The sequence below is a fragment of the Homo sapiens genome, chromosome 17 (assembly GCF_000001405.40).
Source record: "Homo sapiens chromosome 17, GRCh38.p14 Primary Assembly".
NCBI lineage: Eukaryota > Metazoa > Chordata > Mammalia > Primates > Hominidae > Homo > Homo sapiens.
In genome coordinates, this window is record NC_000017.11 from 44,844,795 (window position 1) to 44,868,039 (window position 23,245).

At 49.6% G+C, this 23,245-nt stretch overlaps 2 protein-coding genes across 14 annotated transcripts in view, besides 1 other annotated feature; one reads left to right on the forward strand and one right to left on the reverse strand.

Annotated features, from left to right (window-relative positions):
• The first annotated feature begins 65 nt into the window (after positions 1-65).
• HIGD1B (HIG1 hypoxia inducible domain family member 1B) lies at positions 66-5,682 on the forward strand. Of its 9 annotated transcripts, none has more exons than XM_011524891.3 (4): positions 66-84; positions 3,308-3,458; positions 4,460-4,594; positions 5,538-5,682. In XM_011524891.3, the coding sequence occupies exons 2-4, from the start codon at positions 3,359-3,361 to the stop codon at positions 5,600-5,602; spliced, it is 300 nt and encodes a 99-aa protein (XP_011523193.1). In that variant the 5' UTR covers positions 66-84; positions 3,308-3,358; the 3' UTR covers positions 5,603-5,682. The 9 variants fall into 9 exon arrangements, 8 of the variants coding, with proteins under 8 accessions (XP_011523193.1, XP_016880232.1, NP_001258809.1 ...); XM_017024743.2 differs by having other exon boundaries at positions 69-84; positions 3,266-3,458; NM_001271880.2 differs by lacking the exon at positions 66-84 and adding an exon at positions 1,535-1,632 and having other exon boundaries at positions 3,266-3,458.
• Positions 5,154-23,245, reverse strand: part of EFTUD2 (elongation factor Tu GTP binding domain containing 2) — a 49,498-nt gene continuing 31,406 nt past the window's right edge. For 4 of the 5 annotated variants that reach the window (NM_001142605.2, NM_001258354.2, NM_004247.4 and 1 more), the window contains 16 exons: positions 23,013-23,103; positions 20,136-20,271; positions 18,861-18,988; positions 17,919-18,112; positions 15,638-15,749; positions 15,111-15,251; positions 14,286-14,387; positions 12,281-12,363; positions 10,124-10,210; positions 9,762-9,888; positions 9,475-9,562; positions 8,723-8,841; positions 8,502-8,596; positions 7,615-7,768; positions 6,916-7,023; positions 5,154-6,575 (listed from right to left, as the gene is read on the reverse strand). In NM_001142605.2, coding sequence (NP_001136077.1) covers positions 6,480-6,575; positions 6,916-7,023; positions 7,615-7,768; positions 8,502-8,596; positions 8,723-8,841; positions 9,475-9,562; positions 9,762-9,888; positions 10,124-10,210; positions 12,281-12,363; positions 14,286-14,387; positions 15,111-15,251; positions 15,638-15,749; positions 17,919-18,112; positions 18,861-18,988; positions 20,136-20,271; positions 23,013-23,103 — 1,861 coding nt within the window. In that variant the 3' untranslated portion in view covers positions 5,154-6,479. Of the gene's footprint in view, positions 6,576-6,915; positions 7,024-7,614; positions 7,769-8,501; positions 8,597-8,722; positions 8,842-9,474; positions 9,563-9,761; positions 9,889-10,123; positions 10,211-12,280; positions 12,364-14,285; positions 14,388-15,110; positions 15,252-15,637; positions 15,750-17,918; positions 18,113-18,860; positions 18,989-20,135; positions 20,272-23,012; positions 23,104-23,245 lie in introns of those variants that run through there. The other variant, XM_047437084.1, reaches the window with a different exon arrangement.
• Positions 21,769-21,950: a silencer, noted in NCBI's record as "fragment chr17:42943931-42944112 (GRCh37/hg19 assembly coordinates)". NCBI's record gives its function as "represses an EF-1alpha promoter that drives an FKBP-Casp9 reporter gene in an ReSE screen in HepG2 liver carcinoma cells {active_cell/tissue: HepG2}" and the evidence as "EXISTENCE:reporter gene assay evidence [ECO:0000049][PMID:32094911]".

The window sequence follows — 23,245 nt, forward strand, 5'->3', positions numbered from 1 at the left end:
TTGCAGTTAGGAGTGCAAACACTTGAGCCAGCCTGACCTGGGTTCAGATGACAAAACTGCCATGTACTAGCTGTGTATCCTCAGGTAAGTCATTAAGCCTCTCTGAAGCTCCATTCCTTTGTGAACAAACTGCTACTTACCATATAGAATAGCTGAGAGTTTTGAAATATGCTGAGTACAGGGCTGGGCACAGTGGCTTATGCCTGTAATCCCAGCACTTTGGGAGGCCGAGGTGGGCGGATCACCTGAGGTCAGGAGTTGGAGACCAGCCTGGCCAACATGATGAAACCCCATCTCTACTAAAAACACAAAAATTAGCTGGGCATGGTGGCAGGCGCCTGTAATCCCAGCTACTCGGGAGGCTGAAGCAGGACAATCACTTGAACCCGGGAGGCAGAGATTGCAGTGAGCTGAGATCATGCCATTGCACTCCAGCCTGGGCAACAAGAGTGAAACTCCGTCTCAAAAAAAAAAAAAAAAAGAAAGAAATATACTGAGTACAGAAGAGCCCTAATCCTGATCACTGTCATCCCTGCAACCTGAGTGAGCATCACCCCATAGGTAGTATAAAGAGTTCTGGAAGCTGGGCCCTGTAGCTTCCACCTTTAATCCCAGTACTTTGGGAGGCCAGTTCTGAGACCAGCCAGGGTAACATGGTAAAACTGTCTCTACCAAAAATACAAAAATGAGCCAAGTGTGGTGGTATGTGCCCGTGGTCCCAGCTATTTAGGAGGCTGAGATGGGAGGGTTGCTTGAGCCTGGGAGTATGAGGCTGCAGTGAGCCAAGATCACACAGCCTGGGTGACAGAGGGAGACCCCATCTCAAAAACAAAACAAAACAAAAAACCCCAAAAACTAGCTGGGTGTGGTGGCTCATGCTTGTAATCCCAGCACTTTGGGAGGCTGAGCCGGGTGGATCACAAGGTCAGGATTTCGAGACCAGCCCGGCCAACATGGTGAAACCCCGCCTCTACTAAAAATAAAAAAATTAGCTGGGTATGGTGGCACATGCCTGTAATCCCAGCTACTCGGGAGGCTGAGGCAGGAGAATCACTTGAACCTGGGAGCGGAGGTTACAGTGAGCCGAGATCGTGCCACTGCACTCCAGCCTAGGTGACAGAGCAAGACTCCATCTCGGAAAAAAAAAAAAATCCCAAACCAAAAGACAGCCTAGAGAGTCTGTCTCTCACAACTAGGGTATTTTATTTACATCCCACATTGTTCATAAGAGTATCCGAGGGAGTGTAACTTGGGGGACCCAGGCTTTCTACTCATCCTTGTTCCTGTATCTCCATCTCCGTTCTCCTCATCAAGCCTGTCTCTGATCCAGCCACTTAATTCCATGGGAATTAAAAGACTGAATCTAGTTAGGGGCTCCCCTCCATTTGGTCTTTCCTTACTTTCCAGTGCCTGGAGCTTTGGCTTGGGACTCAGCAGACTGGGGGTTAAGACCGATCCCCTGTCCTTTCCCCTCCCCTCTCCATCCCTGACTTCAAAGTTTTCATAAAGCCCAAGTCACTGCTTCCCTGACCCCATAGTGGCAGCTCCATCTCAGCTTTTGGTCGGTTCAAAACAGCAGACGCTGAGCCCTGGCCTGGCCGCCCGTTCTCCTCGTTCTAGCCATCTCTTAGGGTAAGCACCAGCATGCCAACGACCTGGGGGGCCACCAGTCCTTGCTCCTCCAGGAGAGGAGGGCTAACTAGGATAGAAGCTGACTCAAGGGCAGGCACAGTGGTTCATGCCTGTAATCCCAGAACTTTGGGAGGCTGAGGTGGGCAGATCGCCTGAGACCAGGAGTTCAAGATTGGCTGGGCGACATGGCAAAACTGTCTCTACAAAAAATACAAAAATTAGCTGAGCGTGGTAGCATGCACCTGTAGTCCCAGCTACTTGAGAGGCTGAGGTGGAAGGACTGCTTGAGTCTGGAGGGTCAAGCTTGCAGGGATTGACACTGCACTCCAGCCTGAGTGACAAAGTGAGACCCTGCCTAAAAAAAAAAAAAAAGAAGAAAAAGAAAAGAGAGTTTGCCGTATGGTTAGGCTTAGAAGGTATCCCATTGGACAGGGCACGGTGGCTCATACCTGTAATCCCTGCACTTTGGGAAGCCGAGGTGGGCGGATCAAGAGGTCAGGAGTTCAAGACCAGCCTGGCTATCAGGGTAAGACCCCGTCTCTACTAAAAAAATACAAAAAATTAGCTGGGCATGGTACACACCTGTAATCCCAGCTACTTGGGAGGCTGAGGCAGAATTGCTTCAACCAGGACCTGGGAGGCGGAGGTTGCAGTGAGCCGAGATGGCACCACTGCACTCCAGCCTGGGCTACAGAGCGAAACTCCGTCTCAAAAAAACAAAAAAGGGCCGGGCGCGGTGGCTCACGCCTGTAATCCCAGCACTTTGGGAGGCCGAGGCAGGTGGATCATGAGGTCAGGAGATCGAGACCATCCTGGCTAACAAGGTGAAACCCCGTCTCTACTAAAAATACAAAAAATTAGCCGGGCGCGGTGGCGGGCGCCTGTAGTCCCAGCTACTCGGGAGGCTGAGGCAGGAGAATGGCGTGAACCCGGGAAGCGGAGCTTGCAGTGAGCCGAGATTGCGCCACTGCAGTCCGCAGTCCGGCCTGGGCGACAGAGCGAGACTCCGTCTCAAAAAGAAGGCATCCCATTGGCAGAACCCTTGTTTCCAGCCCAGGGATGAAGGTAGCCAGTTGGTAATTGTGAAGAACCTGCCTGGAAAGAGATGGACCTGGAAAAACAGGAGCAGCTCAGGAACCAGAATGTGTTCCTTAGTACTCATGTGCAAAATATATGCTAAATTACATGCAAATCAATGTCCAATCATTATAATCTCTGGCAATTTGGTAACTAATGCTGTTACACTATCTGGTCTAGGACATTTCTGGCTCCCTGGGGCCAGATCCTGCTCTGTAGCTCCCACAGGAGAAACCATCACAGACCAAAGGCCAGCGGGGGCCCCAGCACTCAAGGACTGTTTCTCCCACCACCATCTGTGGACTTTTCCAGCTGTTTTTCTTGGCCCAAGGATCACACCCATAGGGATGCAGATGGGGGAAGGGGAAGCTGAGAAAGCAGTGAAGACAGAATGAGCTGGGGAAGAGGCAGATGGTAGGAAATGGAGACGGAGAAATGGCACTAATGGCCCAGCCACCTGAGATGGGATACCTGGGAGGGACATCTTTTCAAGTAGAGGCTGTGTTGGGGCATGGTGAGAGAGGGTCTTAGCAGGTAACCTTCCTTTCCTCTCCAGACTGAGGAATCAGAGTTCTGATTGTGGAGTGCCTCTCTCTAGGACGGGGCTGCAGCATAGGAGTCTCAGCTGCTTACATCCAGGTCCAGGATTATGTCTGCTAACAGACGCTGGTGGGTACCACCTGACGACGAAGACTGTGTGTCTGAGAAGCTCCTGAGGAAGACTCGGGAATCTCCACTGGTGCCTATAGGTAAGTGAAGAAAGGAATGGGGTGCCGAGTAGGAGGCCTTCTCTGTCATGTCTCCTGGTACCCTCCAAAGAGAATGAAGCAGAGGTCAGAAAACTCAAGTGGTCCTACTCACGGAACAAGGGAAACAACAGCAAAGGTGCCAAGGGGCAAACCCTTACAATGAAATCAGGACGTCTGGATGGGTGGAGGTGGCAGCCAACTGAGTACATGGGATATGAGGAACCTGGAGCACCAACACCAAAGTGGGAAGGGTCAGAAGAACACCTTGGGGTCCCCCAGGGCTTCCTTCCTTATGGCCCTGGTAGAGTAGGAAAACAGCTGTACCAGGAGGTGGGAGCCAGCAGTGTGGCTCAAGGGCCCAGGGCGGAGCAAATTGGTGGGGAGGGGCTGTGTCGTGGTGATCAGCTATTTGTATCTGGGGGAGGGGCATCACTGGTGGTGATCAGCTATTTGTATATGGGGGAGGGGTGTCACGGGAGGGAGGCAGCCACTTTGAAAATGCCATTGAAGGGCAACAACTCAATATATATATATATATTTTTGAGATGGAGTTTCACTCGTTGCCCAGGCTGGAGTGCAATGGCACAGTCTCGGTTCACCACAACCCCTGCCTCCTGGGTTCAAGTGGTTCTCCTGCATCAGCCTCCTGAGTAGTTGGGATTATAGGCATGCACCACCACGCCCGGCTAATTTTGTACTTTTAGTAGAGACTGGGTTTCTCCATTTTGGTCAGGCTGGTCTCAAACTCCCAACTTCAGGTGATCCACCTGCCTCAGTCTCCCAAAAGTGCTGGGATTACAGGCGTGAGCCACCATGCCCCGGCAACAACTCAATATTCTAATGATCCCCCTAGGTCCCCCGCAACGCCCACCCCCCGCCACCAGATGCTGCATAAAACCAGCTGTTTATCCAGATGCCCAGCCTGCCTGGTAAGGTATCTCTCATCAGGGGAGTGCTGTGCATTGTGGCTGTGGCCCAGGGGCTGTGTTCTCTGCCCACAGGCTTAGGAGGCTGCTTGGTGGTAGCAGCATACAGGATTTACCGGCTGAGGTCTCGTGGTTCCACCAAGATGTCCATACACCTGATTCACACCCGAGTGGCAGCGCAGGCCTGTGCAGTGGGTGCAATCATGCTAGGTGAGTAGCTTTGTGGGGTCGCAGAATGAGGGCAAAACCGATTATGCAGTTTGTAGGTCTTTAAGTCCCAACAATTAAAAGGACTGTGCTTGGCTGGGCGCGGTGGTTCACGCCTGTAATCTCAACACTTTGGGAGGCCAAGGCGGGCAGATCATGAGGTCTGGAGAGAGAGACCATCCTGGCCAACATGGTGAAACCCCATATCTACTAAAAATACAAAAATTAGCTGGGCGTGGCGGCAGGTGCCTTTAGTCCCAGCTACTCTGGAGGCTTCGGCAGGAGAATTGCTTGAACCTGGGAGGCGGAGGCTACAGTGGGCTGAGATCCGCCACTGCACTCCAGCCCGGGTGACAGAGTGAGACTCTGTCTCAAAAAAAAAAAAAAAAAAAAAAAAGGACTGTGAATTAAGTTCTCCTGTTCTGGGCTCCACATCACATGCTTGGTGAAGCCCCTATACTGAGCCATCTTCCCTGTTTAGGCTCCTGTCCCAGGCCTGTGGGGACAGTGTCTCATGACAGTTTGCCCTAGGGGTGAGAAAAATCATGCAACAGAACAGATGTTGAATTTCTCTTCCTCTTGAGATTAAAAAGCAGACAGCCACTTGCTAACTGTGTGACAGTGGACAAATCTTTCTCACTGAGCCTCAGTTTCCTGATGTGTAACATGACAATAACCACCCCTGGCCTGCCTACCTTGCAGGCTGCTGTGAGGTTTCTCAGATACACAATACATGTGAAAGTGTTTCGTGAACTGTCAGATAAGTGGTTTCCCCAGGTTGTGTGGTCAGATGCTTGAAGCAGCTGTTGGGACCTGGGGCAGAAAGATGAGCGGGAAGCTGGACTCTCAAGGGAGCAGCTAGAGGTGAACCCCTAGGACGCCTGAGAGCCAGAGGACGGGTGAAGGGTTTGATGCCAAGGGGCATTATTTCTTTTCTCTCACACAGGTGCTGTGTACACAATGTACAGCGATTACGTCAAGAGGATGGCACAGGATGCTGGAGAGAAGTAGGACTCCTATAGGAGCCGGGGCTGTCCAACTCCCCTAACTCAATCCCTGGTACATTCCTAATAAAGCAGTTTTGAGGAAAATCAACAGACTCTTTTTCACTGGGGGAGAACAGAGTAAGGGACTGGTGGTAGCTGGGGAGAGGACTTGGAGTAAATGGCTGGAAATCAAAGTGCTCTGGCCCCCTACTCCAGGGCAAGGAAGATTCTTAGGGGAGGCAGCAGTTTCCTGAGGAGGTGGTGGGGTAGACTTCTGATCGCAGGAACCCAACAACTCCCAAGCCATCTTAGGTTCCACCCAGAAGCAGCATGGAGTGGGAGCAAGGGGGCAATAATGGGGCCTTGGCGCTCATGGGAACACTGAATTAAAAGGCAGGCGGCTTCCCTGGGGACCCAGGCAGGAAGGAGGCTGCAGCTGGAAGCAGAGGCAGTGAAGCCTCTTGGGAGATGACATATATTCAGAATGTAAGCACCAGACGGGGCAGGGGAGACGAGGATGAAAGGAGCAGAGCAAGACAGAGGTCAGAATGTTCTGTTCACTTGCAAACCATGGCTAAGGTCAAACTTGTAGAAAATAAAATTCCATGTAAATCCCAAAGATAGGGCCCCTTGGGGTTTCATCCCCTTCTCTTTCTGTGAGCCCAAGCTCCTCTCTTTTCCTTGGGAATGGAGCCCGGCAGAGGCCACAGAAGGAAGCAGGAGGCCAAATGCTCCTCTCTCACTGGGGCTCTGGGTTGGAGGTTGGTGAGTTGTTCAAGATGGCAACAGCAGCTTCCAGACACTCTCTGACAACACGAAGGCCACGTCATATGAGGTCTCAGCTTCAAGTACAGGAGTTGCAGCCCACTGTAGGGAGCAGGAGCTCCCAGGAGTCCACGCACTCACATGGGGTAATTGAGCACAACATCCTGTTTGGCAAGTTCCAGCAACATAGGATCATCGAAGAATTTGCTGATGCTCACATCTTCACTGAGGCCCTGCAGGGAATGGGGCAAATATAAGAAAGCCCGAGGTGGTCGCAGACTAAGCAAGGAGACTATCCAAGACCTGTGTTCAGTGGGGAGGCTAGTGGTGGCTGGAATGTAGGTGGTGGTGTTTCAGGAGCCCTGCCTTTAGGGTACTATCACATGGGAGGATAAGGCTCTCCTTTCCCAACGAGACTGGGGCCCAGGTTTGGTTGCCTAAGGAGTATACAGATCATATCTCTACATTGGAAAAGTGTCCCTTAGGAAAAGGGGCCAAAAGAAAGAGAGAGAGATCCTGCTTCTGAGAGTCCTGGGGGGTTGAGGGATGGCAACAGGCCCAAGGGAGACATACCTTCCTACGGCGGGTTTTGATCATGAATTCCCGGGCCAGGTGAGGAGCTGGCTGTGGCTCCAAGGGGCGGATGACAATGCTCTTGTCCAGGGGATCACCAGGCACAATCTAAAAGGCAAAGGAATTTCAGATGGCCCAGGCAGAATTCCCAGAAGATTCAGGCCCAGAAGCAGGACTCTTCTTATTTATTTTATTCCTAAATTTATTACTTATTATTATTTTTTTGAGATGGAGTTTCGCTCTTGTCTCCCAGGCTGGAGTACAATGGCATGATCTCGGCTCAATGCAACCTCCGCCTCCCGGGTTCAAGCGATTCTCCTACCTCAGCCTCCCAAGTAGCTGGGATTACAGGCATGCACCACCACGCCTAGCTAATTTTATATTTTTAGTACAGATGGGGTTTCTGCATGTTGGTCAAGCTGGTCTCGAACTCCTGACCTCAGGTGACCTGCCCGCCTCAGCCTCCCAAAGTGCTGGGATTACAGGTGTGAACCACCATAGCCGGCCCTATTATTTCTTTTTTTTTTTTTAAACTGAGAGACACAGATTCAAGTTGCCCTGAATATATGCTCCCCAGAGGAGGACTCTTCTCCAGGATGCTGTACACCTCACTTAGGGCTTGGAGAGGGATCAGGACAGAAGGGGATGAGGCTTGCAGAGGTGGGAAGCCAAGTCCGCCAGCCTGCATTGCTTTCTCACCTGCCAGTGGTGGAAGACAGACAGAGAAAAGGCTTGTCCCTGGGTGTGAGTCCGGAGATCAGTCTCAAAGCCAAAAGAGTCGATGGCCGGGATAAAAGCTTTGATGGTGTACAGAGGGGAGCCTGGGATGGGTGCATCCTGAGTCACGTGCCCCCTGAGACAGAAAAACAAAGGCTGAGCCTCTAGTCAAACATAGGCCAAAAGCCAAGAAGCAATCCAGCATTTGCTGTCCCCCAAATGCATTCCAGCCCAGAGTTACCATCAAAGAAAGAGTAACCAAGAATGTTCTACAAAAAGCAGAAAAGGCTCAGGGCTCTCAGTATAATTCCCTGTGGAAGTCAAAGTGGCAGCAACCTCTGGGCAGAGGACAGGAGTGGGATGGTGAAGGGACAAGGGCCCAAAGACATTCCCATCACTGACTTGCCTCAGCACTGCCTCCAACAGCTCTGTGAGGAGGGGATCCCAAAAGAAATGTCAATTTTTTTTTTTTGAGACAGAGCCTTGCTCTGTCGCCCAGGCTGGAATGCAGTGGCGCCATCTCGGCTCACTGCAAGCTCCGCCTCCTGGGTTCACGCCATTCTCCTGACTCAGCCTCCCAAGTAGCTGGGACTACAGGCACCCGCCACCACGCCCAGCTAATTTTTTGTATTTTTAGTAGAGACGGGGTTTCACTGTGTTAGCCAGGATGGAGAAATGTCAAATTTTAATCTGCAGAAAAGCGGGGGCTTGCCTCCCTCCGCTCCTACTTCTTTCTGGAAAATCAGCTCTCGGGGTTTCCAGAGAGAGGAGGGTAGAGAAGGCCAACCTCTCTTCCCTGTAGGAGCCGAGGTGACTCTTGTTCTGCTCTTGCTCTCAGCACTCTCCCTAATACGCCTGGGGCCGCTCACCTGCGCCTGGCCAGGACGGTATAAACTGCAGAGACGCAATCTGCAGGGGCCTGGACCTCTACAAAGTAGTAAGGCTCCATCAGACGAGGAGTAGCCTGCAGCAGAGCAAGAAGAAAGGCCCCTCAGCTTGGGGAAGGCTGGGGGCCTATAGTCCCACTTGCTCCTTCACTTAGTCCCCTGTCCAGTGAAGCAGATGGTCCCCTACCGCCCCATTCTCTTACCATGAGGAAGGCAGAGTAGACGACTCTCCTGGCTGTGGGGATGATCTGGCCCCCGCCCCGGTGCAGGGGCTCCTGGGCAACCACCGCATCCAGGATCTTAAACTTGACATTCCGAATCACTGTAAAGGAGGTGGAGGGAGTGACTGGGGAGAGGTTCTGGGCCTGTCATGGGGCCATGGCAGAGTAGCAGTCTCCTGCAACACTGCAGCTGTCTTGCAGTCATGAAAGACATGGTACAGAAATCAAATGGGAGGTGGGCGTTCTAACTGAATAAGCAAGGCCCATGGCAGAGGTCAGAAGTTAAGCATATGTTCTTAGTGTTTGCTTCAGGCCATGCTCAGACTTAGAGCTTTCCTAGAAGTTTATTTCCTTCTTCTGCACATATTTACATTTTTGTGGATGTAGAATAAATTCCAGAATTGTACATTTGGTCCATGAAGCCCAATCAGGGTCTATAAACCATTCCAATCTCATCATCCTCTTGATATCTCTTCTCAAATACGTCCAACGCCAAACCCTTCTCAGAAATGAGGAGCAAATGACAGTTTAGAAATGACTTAAATTTCCATTTCCAGGCTACACCACCAGGATAAGGAAGGAAAAGGGAAGAAGCTGGCCCAGGACTTGGGATGGTCCTGTGTACCCCAAGCTGCTTCTCCTGCCGAATCCTAAAGATGGTGAGCCCATCCCACTCATATGCCTGGCTGCAAGGACCCTCGAGGACTGGGGTGGGGGAGTGCTGGTGGACTTACATTCATCACAGAGGGGGCCCTCCCTGGTTCCCCACTGGAAACCTTGAACGATGCTGTCCTTCACTGAACCAAGAAGAGCCTTGTCCACCTATAGAGAAACATGAGGCCTCCTTAGCAGTCGCCCTGGCAACGGCTGAAGCATTTAGAGGGAGAAGACAGATGTGCCTGTAAGGGGATACTGTCCTTCACCAGAGGACACAAGATACTTTTGGGAAAAGAACACTTTGTAGTTTCTTCCACTCCAGAGGTAAGAGACCGCCACCCAGTTCCCATCAGTTCTGCTGTACCTCAGAGGGCAGAGTATCATCCACCAGAATGTTGGGGCCAGTCGCATCAGGGCCAAAAGCCCAGATGGAACGGGCAGCCAGCAGATCCCAATCGTACTTGGTCTGGAAGAACTCTCCCAGCTTCTTCCTGGGGAAGGGAGGAGACAATGGAGCTGTCAGCCAGCTCTGTGATTGCTGGTCCTGGAGCCACAGACCCTCCCTTCCTGGAAGACAGTCACTTCATCCTACCCACTGTGCCCAGAACAAGAGCAAAGGCAAAGACATAAATGCTCCCCAGAAAGATGTGTGCTCTTAGAGACCCGGCAGTTAAACTGTGGCATCCCTGCCTCCTTTCGACCCTGGCGTCAGAGCCCTGTTCTCACCTGTTCCACGTAATCTGGACCACCTCATTCTCTATGTCCTCTGCCAGGCCCTTCTCAAGAGGCTCAGCAATCATGGTGATCTTGTTCCTGGTCAGAATGGAAATGGGTGGTAAGGACGGCTAACAGAACAGCAGAAGAGGCATTACTAAGAAAAGGGTAACAAGACGGACAGCTGAGGAAGTGACATCAGTGAAAGCCACAGGGGCCAAGCGTGGTGGTTCAGACCTGTAATCCCAGCACTTTGAGAGGCCAAGGCAGGAGGATCACTGAAACCCAGGAATTTGAGGCTGCAGTGAGCTATGGCTCACACCACTGCACTCCAGTCTGGGTGATACAGCAACATACTGCCTCTTAAAAACAAACAGCCAGGCGCGGTGGCTCACCCCTGTAATCCCGGCATTTTGGGAGGCCGAGGTGGGCGGATCACAAGGTCAGAAGATCGAGCCTACCCTGGCCAACATGGTGAAACCCCATCTCTACTAAAATACAAAAAATTAGCTGGGCGTGGTGGCGTGCGCTGGCACATGCCTGTAATCACAACTACTCAGGTTGAGGCAGGGGAATCACTTGAACCCAGAAGGCGGAGGTTGCAGTGAGCCGAGATTGTGCCACTGCACTCCAGCCTGGCGACCGTGCAAGACTCTGTCTCAAAAACAAAACAGAACAAAAAAAAACCCCAGACAAACAAACAAACAAACAAACAGAACCTGGGCAACAAAGCAAGAGACCCCATCTCTATAAAAAATTAGCCAGCCGGGTGCGATGGCTCATGCCTGTAATCCCAACACTTTGGGAGGCTGAGGCAGGCAGATCATGAGATCAGGAGTTCGAGACCAGCCTGGCCAACACAGTGAAACCCCATCTCTACTAAAAATACAAAAATTAGCTGGGTGTGGTGACACTCACTCCCTGTAGTCCTAGCTACTCGGGAGGCTGAGGCAGGGGAATTGCTTGGACCCGGGAGGCAGAGGTTCCAGTGAGCTGAGATCGAGCCACTGCACTCCAGCCTGGGCTACAGAGTGAGACTCTATGTCTCAAAAGAAAAAAAAAAAAAGAAAAACAAACCCAGGTGTGGTTAGCACACCTGTAGTCCCAGCTACTTGGGAGGCTAACTAAGGTAGGAGGATCGCTTGAGCTCGGAAGGTTGAGGCTGCAGTGACCCATGGTGGCACCACTGTACTCCAGCCTGGGTGACGAAGTGAGACCCTGTCTCAAAAAAAAAAAAAAAAAAAAAAAAGCCACAGTATCAGGGGCAAGGTGGAGCAAAAAGGGCAAAGGGCTCATCTTTCTTTCATTTCAATCTACTGGTCTTTATGAAAGTAAGGTTTAAGCTGGGCGTGGTGGCTCATGCCTGTAATCCCAGCATTTTGGGAGGCCGAGGCGGGCGGACTGCCTGAGGTCAGGGGTTCGAGACCAGCCTGGGCAACATGGCGAAACCCCACCTCTACTAAAAATACAAAAAATTAGCCAGGTGTGGTGGTGCGTGCATGTAATCCCTGCTACTGGGGAAGCTGAGGCACAAGAATTGCTTGAACCTGGGAGGCAGGGGCTACAGTGAGGCGAGATCGTGCCACTGTACTCCAGCCTGGGCGACAGAGCGAGACTGTCTTAAAAAAAAGAAAAAAAAAGTAAGGTTTAAGCTGGGCATGGTGGCTCACACCTGTAATCCCAACAATTTGGGAGGCCAAGATGGGAGGAACACTTGAGCCCAAAAGTCCAAGACCAGTCTGGACAACAAAAAATAAAAAAATTAACAGATGGCCTGGTGTGTGCCCATAGTCCTAGCTGCTTGGGAGGATTGCTTAAGCCCAGAAAGTTGAGGCTGCACTCCAGCCTGTGTCAAAAAAAAAAAAAACAAAAAAACAAAAAGTGAGTAAGATTTGGAGTAAACTTTTAAGATAGTCATTTTATAGAGACAAAGTGGCAGTTATGAAACTCCTCTTGGGAATACCCAAGGCGAATAATCCCATGTCATTGTGTTCAAAGGCAGAAGGGCTGAGAGGGCTGGAGTGAAACTCAAGTATTGTAAGCACCCCCTATTCTGAGCTGTAGAGGTCTCTATGTGCATAGTGCTCATGGTGGGGGTAGAGGTGGAAGATAAAGGAGAGAGAGTGTCCAGGAGGCTGCAGTCCCAGGGACACTGTGCTCCCAGCTTACTTCTTATTAGGCGTTTCAGCAAAGCACTTGAGGGAGGATGTTTCCACCACCGTCTCACAAAACGTGACAACTGGGTCAGCCACCTGGGAAACAGAAAATAAATTACTGAAGCGAGGTCTAATTTTGTTGGAAGGGCAACCATTTACCTAAGGGAATTCAGAAGCTCCCTTGACACTACCTCTGTGAAAACCCCAACTGCCTTAATCAGCACAAGTGATAAGTACAACAGCAGGTTAAAAGAGCTGTCCAAATCATCACCAAAAAGCCCAAGAAAACTTACTGTAGTAAAGAAATTAGATTCCTGAGCCAAGAGTAAGTGGGGTATCAAACTAGGGCCTTAATTCTAGTCTTCAAAGGTAGCTCTCAGCATCCATTCAGCCATCTACCACCATTCACTGAACAACCCCCATGGGTCTGACAGAGCTGGTGCTGAGACCCACTGGCGTGCACCCATGTCATTCTCAACCCACAGCATCTGAGTGAAGCTCTGCCCTGAAGCCCCAACATGGTCTGCTGCCCAGGAAACCCAGTGTTTTCTATGACACCAATCCTTCCTCCTTCCTAGATACATCAGTAGAGGAGTCTAAGAGGGGTATTGAGGGTCCTCCACAGGGCCTTGGAGAAAATACGACTCAACTAGGACAAGGAGGCCAAGCAACACATGGTTTGAGGGGCTACATCAAGGCTTGACAAAGAATCTGGGAGAGACAGTCCCCACCCTCTCCTTGAAACCACCCACTCTGAGACCTAATCACCACCCATGGGTTAATTGTTTAATTGTGCAATTATTTCCCTAACAAAGGACCAAGAATAACTTTGGCTTGGGAGCCTTTATTTTCTTTTTCCTTTTTTTTTTTTTTTTTTTGAGACAGAGTCTCGCCCTATCACCCAGGCTGGAGTGCAATGGTGCGATCTTGGCTCACTGCAACCTCTGCCACCCGGTTTCAAACAATTATCCTGTCTCAGCCTCCTGAGTAGCTGGGATTACAGGTGCCCGCCACCATGTCTGGCTAATTTTTGTATTTTTAGTAGAGACAGAGTTTCACCATGTTGGTCAGGCTGGTCTTGAACTCCTGACCTCAAGCAATCCAACCGCCTTGGACTTTCAAAGTGTTGGGGTTACAGGCGTGAGCCACCGTGCTCGGCCTGTTTTATTATTTTTCAATGCATTTATTTTTTGAGACAGGGTCTTGCTCTGTCACCCATGCTAGGGTGCAGTGGCATGATCGTAGCTCACTGCAGCCTCGAACTGCTGGGCTCAAGCAATCCTCCTGCTTCAGCCTGCGGAGTAGCTGGGACTATAGGTGCAAGCCACCACACCTGACTAATTTTTATTTTTTAGTTTTTTGAGACAGGGTATGACTCCATCTCAAAAAGGAGAGCAATGGCACAATGATTGCTCATTGCAGCCATGACCTCCTAGGCTCAGGTTGGAGAGCAATGGCACAATCACAGTTCATTGCAGCCTTGACAGTCTAGGTTCAGGTGATCCTCCCACCTAAGCCCCCCAGTAGCTGGACTACAGGTACATGCCACTGCACTGGGCTGGTTTGTAGAGACGAGGTTTCACTATGTTGCCCAGATTGGTCTCAAACTGGGCTCAAGCAATCCTCTCACCTCAGTCTCCCAAAGTGCTGCAATTACAGCAACGGACCACCATGCCCGGCCTGGCTATTTTTTTTATTTTAATTTTTGTAGAGGCAGTGTCTCACTTTGTTGCTCAGGTTGGTCTTGAATTCCTGGCTACAAGCAATCCTCCCACCTCGGCCTCCCAAAGTGCTGGGAGTGAGCCACCAAGCACGGCTGAGCCTTGATTTTAAACGTATGACACAGCAGAAGGGGGCAAACCAGTTCTCAAAAACCTTCCCATATAAGGAGCAACAGATCATGGTTTTCACAAACACATGTACTCTCTCTTCCCTTGGAGCTTCCCAGGAATTCAAGGATTTGGTCACTTGTGAAAAGTCTGGACCGTGAACCCAGCTCCCGGCAGATACTGCTGTACCTTGATGTCTATCTCTGAGTACATCTTCCGCAAATCATGCATCACACAGTCCAGGTAGAGCTCCCCAGTGCCCAGGATCACATGCTCGCCAGACTCCTCCACCTGAAACACAACAGGCAGTCACAGCCTGGATTCTCTTATGCCAGCAAAGGCACACACAAACAAAATCAAGGCCAGAGCAGACAAGAAGTTGCCTATCAGAAACAGCTACTACTTAGCATCTGTTCCAGCCTCTTCAAGAAGGTTCAGTGAGGAGCATCTGCCTATGAGTGGGTCCTCAAGACACCAGGACCACTCAGCATGGTGATACTAGGTGTGAAGTCAATGATTTAATTCCCATCTTAATGATTTAGGTCAAACTCTACCCTATACCCATGGACATAAGCTAGCCCTTTAGCCCTCCTGGCCTGCTACCTGGAAAGGTACACTGGCAGGCTCATAGTGTACAAGGATCAGAGTAACAACTCACTTTTCCTTCTCTTCTCGAGAAAATCAATTCAAAGTATACTCATTAAGAAATGTATTTTTGTCTAGATAAAGACATCTGCGGAACACAAATACGCACACACACACACACACACAACCTTGTCCTATACCCCCCATCACTGCCCCCTCCTACACAGGTCTTGTTTTAACACACACACATACACACACACACGTGTCTTGTCCTGCCTTGACATGACAGCCATAGGCTGGGCTTGCTCCTGACACAGCTTCCTGTAAGCAGCAGATCATGAACACCTGATGGATGGGAAGCGGTGTGCAGCTCTGCCCATTCAGCTGGGGATAGTGGGGCTTGGCGGCTGCTGCAGGCCATGGGCATACCTTGGTGGTGAGGGATGGATAGCTCTTGTTGACCTTGCGCAGGCCATCAAGCATCTTGGGCAGCTCTGAGGGGTTGACTGGCTCCACAGCAATCTTGATAACAGATGTGGTATTGAACTTCAAGGGTCGGAAAATCTGAGCCTGAGATCCAAAGCACAAAGGACTGAGGGCAACTGGCATGAGCAGGCACAGAAAGTGCAGAGGTATGAGAAGAGAAGAGGACTTGCTTAGGATCAGACTATGTATTCCCCAACCAGGAGCCTGGTGCTGAGTGGGGGTAACCTGAAGGGCCATTTCTTCCCAGGTATTCTGGCAGAACAAAGAGAGGAGGAAAATAATAAAAGGCACCCGTCCTAATTCCTCGCATCTGAACTGAGTACAGGGAGAATCCAGCAGGGTCATATCTAGAAGGCTAAGCCTGAAACCAGGACATGGCAATGACTGTGGATTAGTCCCGTTTGTGCTCATGTGTGTCCCTGGGACCATCTAGCTTAAGCCAACCCAGTTGGTCTCTTCAGAAACTCTACCTCCTCATTGCCTCGGGGTTCGGTTATGGTTGCTGTCTTCACAATTGGTTGATCAACACCTTCAATCAGAACCCAGTTGCCAGCAGGAACACGGTTCACCTCGATGTGGTACCTGAAGCAATGTCCAATAAGCAGCAGTGAAACTTAGGCAGAGCATTCCCTAATTTTTTTTTTTTTTTTTTTTTTGAGACAGGATCTCACTTTGTTACCAGGCTGGAGTGCAGTGGCACAATCTTGGCTCACTGCAGCCTCGAACTTCCAAGGTTCCAGTGATCCTTCTGCGTCAGCCCCCCAAGTAGCTGGGACTACAGGCACACACTAACATGCCCAACTAATTTTTGTATTTTTGTAGAGACGGGGTTTTTTCATGTTGTCTAGGCTGGTCTTGAACTCCTGAGCTCAAGCAATCCTCCTGCCTCAGCCTTCCAAAGTGCTAGGATTACAGGTGTGAGCCACCACATCCAGCCTATTCCACAAAAATTTACTGAGTACTTGCTGCGTGCCAAGAGCAGGGGTGAGCAAAACAGATACATTCTAGCAGGGGAGAGATACAGTAAACAATCATTATCCACACATGTATGTGGTTACAAACTGATGGGCATTATGAAAGAAAAGTACAAGGTATTTCTGTGAGGACATAAGAGGAAAATCTTATTCCAATTGCAGGCTCATGGTAAAAAGCTGCCCAAGGTGTCGACTGTAAGGGGCTAGCAAAAGCATCAAAGAAGGCCGGGTGTGGCGGCTCACGCTTATAATCCCAGTGCTTTGGGAGGCTGAGGTGGGTGGCTGGATCACCTGAGGTCAGGAGTTTGAGACCAGCCTGGCCAACATGGTGAAAACTATCTCTACTAAAAATACAAAAAATTAGCCAGACATGGTGGTGCACACCTATAACCCTGGCTACTTGGGAGGCTGAGGCAGGAGAATCGCTTGAACCCGGGAGGCAGAGGTTGCAGTGAGCCGCAATCACGCCATTGCACTCCAGCCTGGCTGACAGAGAGAAAAAAAAAAAAAAAAAAAGGCTGGGAGCGGTGGCTCACACCTATAATCCCAGCACTTTGGGAGGCTGAGGCAGGTGGATCATGAGGTCAGGAGATCGAGACCATTCTGGCTAATACGGTGAAACCTGTCTCTACTAAAAATACAAAAAAATTAGCTGGGCATGGTGGCGGGCGCCTGTAGTCCCAGCTACTTGGGAGGCTGAGGCAGCAGAATGGCATGAACCCAGGAGGTGGAGCTTGCAGTAAGCCGAGATCACAGGCACTGCACTCCAGGTTGGGCGACAGAGTGAGACTCCATCTCAAAAAAAAAAGCATCACAGAAAACTTCCACTTTCCCAGCTCTTCAATATTCCACCTTTTGGCATTTAGGGTGGATTTAACAAAAGGGACCACCATTGAGGCAGGGTAGCCACCTTAGGGAACACGAATGCTTTGGTTTAACTTGTCAACTGGGAAACCAAATTCATAAACTGACAAGTAGCCCAGAGGCCCAAGCTAAGTTTGACTGCAGATTGGGATGCTACAAGGGATCCAGCGAAGCCTTCTCTCTTGGTCAAAGAGTAGACAGTGGAGTTGGGGAACAATTTCTTTTGGGAAGAAACACAAAGATTATGACTTAAGGAACACAGGAGAGGAAATGAAAAGAGGATTAAGATGAGTAACAATGGAAATCCTCCTACAAAAGTTCATACAAGCTTCATGCTTTCAAAAGGGCTTTAAGATGGTGTGTGGTGGCTCACACCTGTAATCCAACACTTTTGAGAGGCTGAGGTGGGAGGATCACTTGAGCCCAGGAGTTGGAGACCAGCCTGGGCAATATAGTGAGACATTGTCTCTACAAAAAATTTAAAAATTAGCCAGACATAGTGGTGTGTGCTTGTAGTTCCAGCTACTCAGGAGGCTGAGGTGGAAGGACTGCTTGAGCCCAGGAGGCGGAGGTCGCAGTGAGCTGAGATTGTGCCACTGCACTCTGGCCTAGGAGACAGAGTGAGACCCTGTCTCAAAACAAACAAATAGGGCTAAAAAAAAAAGTTCACACGAGCCACCCAAAGTGCAAAGGCGAAGCTTCTGGCACTGTTCCAACAGTAGCTGCCTTTGGCCCCAGCAAACCTGGGACAGGAAGAACTTGAAGTCAATAGCCCTGCGGAGGGAGAGCCACTTTATCCCCTCTTGCACAGAGCCTTGCAACTACTTCCAAGGAGGATCACTCCTTCCAGCTCCTTGGGGGCAGCCCCTGGATAGACACCAAGGCATACTCCTGGGGCTCTGGTTGGCAGTACCTGGCCACAGAGATCCAAAGGCGGCCCACGGTGCATATCTGGGAGTCTTCCTCATCCTCCAGGGTGTAGTTCTCCCCCAGTACCTTCACAGGCTGCCCAGCATGAATGGTGCCACTCAGCACCCGGCCAAAGGCGTGAAACTGGACTCCATCATCTGTGCTGTACATCTTAGTAGTGTGGCACATCAGGGGGCCCTGGAAGAGGGGACAGGGTGCAGCTTCAACCACATCTATGCTCCGGGGAAGTACTACTCCCCGCCATCTTCCTTGACAGCAAGGACATGAGCTCTATGAGGAGCTAGAGAAAGATGAGGTAGTCTCATCTCCAAACCATGTTCTACCCCATCCCTCTGAGAAGGATGAATAGGAGACATGGCAGAGCAAAAATATTCTCCTCTTTTTTTTTTTTTGGGAGGATAAGGGCATTGAGGAAGAGACACAGATTTAAGATAGCAGAGAGGCACTATTGGCAAGATTACTTACTGTCCCAAATTTCCTCTTAAGATGTAACTCAATTCTCAACTGGCTGTGTATTTATGATAAGAAACTAGACAGCCTAAGAAATGGCTGGGAAAGATGTTTTTAAAAGCCAGGACTGACAAGATTAGCTACCATTTGTTGAATCTTTAGTATCTGCCAGGCAACATGCTGAACACAACCGTAACACTTCCTTAATCTTATTTAAATCTCATAACAACCGCTCACATTTTATTATGCTCGTGTTATAGACCAAGGCCTTGAGGCTCAGGAAATGTGAGTAATGTTCCCAAGGTCATAGCACTAGCGGTGGCAACATCAGGCTTTGCATTCAGGCCTGACTGTGCTCATGGGGATGGGGAGGCAAGGGTGGGAAAGTGGGCATTACTCCTGTGACCAGAAATCAGTATCCCCACACAGGAAGGGGAAAAAAAGACCAGAGAACCGGGGAGCCACATGCCCTTACATCAGGGTCACAGTCACTCATAGCCTCGCCGAGGTCGGAGTCCACACCACCGGTGTAGGTGTGCTCAATCTTGGGCTTGGCGCCCACCTTTGGAGAAGGGATATGCTGCACACACATGTCCACAAAGCCTGTGGATGGAGAAGAGAAAGCCATTAATACATGCCTTCCCAGGGAGCACGAGCAGGAGTTACTGAGCCATTCACAATGGTCAAAAAGCTCAAAGTGCGGGGACTGATTGTTAGCTCTAAAAGCTCTGGCACTATAGATAGTGATAGCCTGCTTCCTGGGAATGTGCTGCTAGAAGATTTGGAGTCACCCTGATGCCAGAAAAGAGCAAGCAGCAGGTATCAGTGGTACATGGTTCCTTGGAACTCAGCTGACAAAAAGTTTAAAGTACATCGATCTATGAACTTTTATTGGCTATACGCATTTACGTGGAACAAAATAAGCACCCCATCTAACATCTACTTAAAACAATTCCCAACCTGACTCCCCTTGAGAAACACTGCATGCATCTCTATTCAATAAGTTACCCCGTTTTCTGAACACATTAATAAACCACATAAGAGGGAACCCCCATGAGCACACTGGGATAGGCCTGTGTGCCTTCAATGGTATCTGGTGTGTCAGATTGATGGGCAGACCAAAATAAGCTATTAAAACTACGCACCTTGGGGGCCCAGACACCTAATTCCCACCGGACTTAGAATCAGAGACTGCTGAGAAGACCCTCAGCCATCACCCTTTCCACTTCCCTGATTTTACAGATAACAAATCAGAGTCATGAAGAATTAGGTGGCTGGCCCAGGGTCATCTCATGGAATGGCCAGGGCAGGATCGAGACAGACTCAGGTGGTTTTTTCAACCAGTCCAGTGTCTTTCTGCTGTATCACGTGCCTTCTGTGTAACTAACCAAGTCTCCCAAGTCCTAGCCTAGTGCTTTTTGCACTATTTCACACTACCCAAGCATCCACCTTCCCGGCTGCCCCCTGGAAAATATACCAGAACCACAGAGCCTGCCTCCCCATCTCATTTACTTGAACACTCCTCCTGGCAGGAAAATGTAATTCCTTTTGGTTCCCAAGATAGAATGTGTGCCATCATCCACTAAGGAAAGCAGCTAGGAAAAACACCAGTGTTCTGCATCTGAATCTGTGGTTTGTTGAAAAGATCCTCAGATTTCTGACCTCCATCGCTGGGTGAGAAAAAATTGCTGTGATACCTGTGGCAGGGCACGAGGATGACAGAGTTAAGGGGCCACGAGCACATTATTACCTGTGAACTCGCCAAAGAACTTTTTGCAGACCAGCCTGAGCAAGGGGCGGATGTTCAGCTTCAGCTCCTCCTTCGTCAGGTGGATGCCAAGCTCGTCTAGGGTCCGTGGGAGGCTGGTGTCCACGTCACCTACAACCTGTGAGGGTGTAAGACACCATGTCAGCTGTAGTGAGAGCCTGAGCATGGTGCTAGAGGGAGACAAGGGAAGTCCAAAGAAATATCTGAAGAACTCCTTCACAAGGCTCTCTTCTATGGAGACAAAGCTCTTGGCAAGGACAAAAGTTTGGTTTCAGCGGCATCTCTGCTACCTACCCTTCAAACCACAGGCAAAGCCAACTTGGTTACATCCCCATCCCAGCCAATAAACCAAGCACTCAGATTGATTACTCCCAGTGCTGCCCCCTGGTGTCTGAAAAGCAGCATCTCCTCCCACTCAGAAACTCCCTCACCTATTAAACAGAAGTCTATTTACAGACTTCTCAGATTTAGAGGATCATTGTGCACTGGAAGGAACCAAAAAAGGTCACCTTGCTGTGGATCCTGTCAGGGCAGGGCCAAGCTAAATCACCCTCAGTAGACTCAAGGTCTCTACTGAGGCAGGCTCTATAAATTTTTTTTATTAATCCATTCCAGTCTGACATAAGATACTAAGTATTTTTCAGCACTAATAAATTTTAATTGCTATTTTATCTTGTTGCTAGGTTTTGCTGTTTTGTCCACCGGAATGGCCACACACATTTTGTGTATGTGTGTGTCCACTGTGCTTATTAAATACCTGCATATTTTATTACTGCCTTGGGAGAAAGGTCTGTATGAAAATTCCTATAATTTTTACCCTTTTAGTCCCATCTTTTAGGGAGTACAAATTCATATAAACGTCATGCTATATTCCCTTTTTTAGAGACAGGGTCTCACTCTGTCACCCAGCCTGGAGTGCAGTGGTGTGATCACGGCTCACTGCAACCTCCACCTCCTGGGCTCAAGTGATCCTCCTGCCTCAGCCCCCCAAGTAGTTGGGACCACAGGCACACACCACTACAACAGCTAATTCTATTTTGTGCGGAGATAAAGGGTTTAGCCATGTTGTCCAAGCTGGTCTTGAACTCCTGATCTCAAGCGATCTGCCCACTGGGACCTCCCAAAGTGCTGGAATTACAGGCGTGAGCAACCACATCCGGCCACGTTATATTCTTTGCTTCTCAGCATTCCACATGCTTAATTAAATCCTTACCATCTCCTGACAAATGATTTCAATCTGACAAGCATCACATATTGTGCAAACAGTTAAGAAAGCAAAGTTCATACGAACATGCTTTGTTTTGTTTTTTTCTGAGACAGGGTCTCACTCCATCACTCAGGCTGGAATGCAGTGGTGTGTGATCATGGATCACTGCAGCTTTGACCACCAGGGTTCAAGCAATCCTCTGGCCTCAGCCTCCTGAGTAGCTGGGACCACAAGTGCACACCACCAGTCCCAGTTGATTTATTTTATTTTTTTTGAGACGGAGTCTTGCTCTGTCACCCAGGCTGGAGTGCAGTGGCACAATCTCAGCTCACTGCAGCCTCTGCCTCAAGAGTAGCTGGGATTACAAGCATGAGCCACCACGCCTGGCTAATTTTTGTATTTTTAGTAGAAATGGGGTCTTGCCATGTTGCCCAGGCTGGTCTTGAACTCCTGGACTCAAGTGATCCTCCCGCCTTGGCCTCCCAAAGCGTCTGGATTACAGGCCTGAGCCACTGTGCCCAGCTCAGACATACTTTAAGTGGTTGCAAAGCGGTTCATTTTATGGGATGTACCATCACTCATTTAATCAGATTAATGAGCATAACTGACAAACATTTAACTTATTTCCAGTTTTTTCCCTTTTCCTGATGTTACAAACAATGCTATAAGCTGAGGTGGTGGACTCCTGCCTGTAAGCCCAGCACTTTGGGAGGCCAAGGCAGGAGGATCACTTGAGGCTACAAGTTTGAGACCAGCTTGGGGATAATGGCAAGACCCTGTCTCTACACAAAATTTTTTAAAAGTTAGCCAGGCATGGTAGCTTGCACCTGCAGTCCCAGCTTCTCAGGAGGCTGAGGTGGGAGGATTGCTCAAACCTAGGAGTTTGAAGCTGCAGTGAGCTATGATCGTGCTATTGCACTCCCACCTGGGCGACAGAGTGGGACCCTATCTCTAAAAATGCTATAATAAACACTTTGACTTATATGAATAAGCAGGAGGACTTTCACAATTATATCTGTAAGTTAAATTTCCGTAACTGAAATGATTAGTTCTAAGTGTCACATTCTTCTCAATAGTCAAGATCTGTTCATAAACCTGCTCTAGGAGAAGTCTTTTCTTTCATACCTTTTCCCTTTCCTTTGATTTTTTTTTTTTTTTTTTTGGTGACAGAGTCTCGCTCTGTCGCCCAGGCTGGAGTGCAGTGGTGCAATCTCGGCTCACTGCAACCTCTGCCTCCTGAGTTCAAGCAATTCTCTTGCCTTAGCCTCCCGAGTAGCTGGGACTACAGGCGCCCGCCACCATGCCCAGCTAATTTTTTGTATTTTGGTGGAGACGGGGTTTCATCGTGTTGCCTAGGCTGGTCTCAAGCTCCTGAGCTCAGGCAATCTGCCCACCTCGGCCTCCCAAAGTGCTAGGATTACAGGCATGAGCCACCATGCCCGGGCCCCTTTCCTTTGATTTTAATAACACTTAGAGTAATGTAGTGTTCTGGATCCAGAAGATTACTTCTGGAACAATTAGTGACCAACAACCACCCTTATACTTGACATAAAACTGAGCAGGTTTAGGGACAGAGGGAAGTGTGAGTTCACCAGCTCTTCCACACTGTGCTTATAAGAGCAGATCTGCCCAGTGTGACCTGACACACTCACCTGGGCGAGGATCTTATAAAGAGGCTCCAAGATAAACTCCACGAAACTTCTCTGGGAGCTGCTAGTTGGGGCCTTTTTGGTGAACTTTCGCCTAAAAGGAAAAATAAGTTCTGAGTGACCCAGGGGAAAAGGCACTATCACTGATCCCAAGAGGCATTGTCTAAGTGCTGAATCTGAACAACAGCCCAGGGGAGGAATGTGTGTGTGACTGTAAAGTTTCCAGAGACAGATTC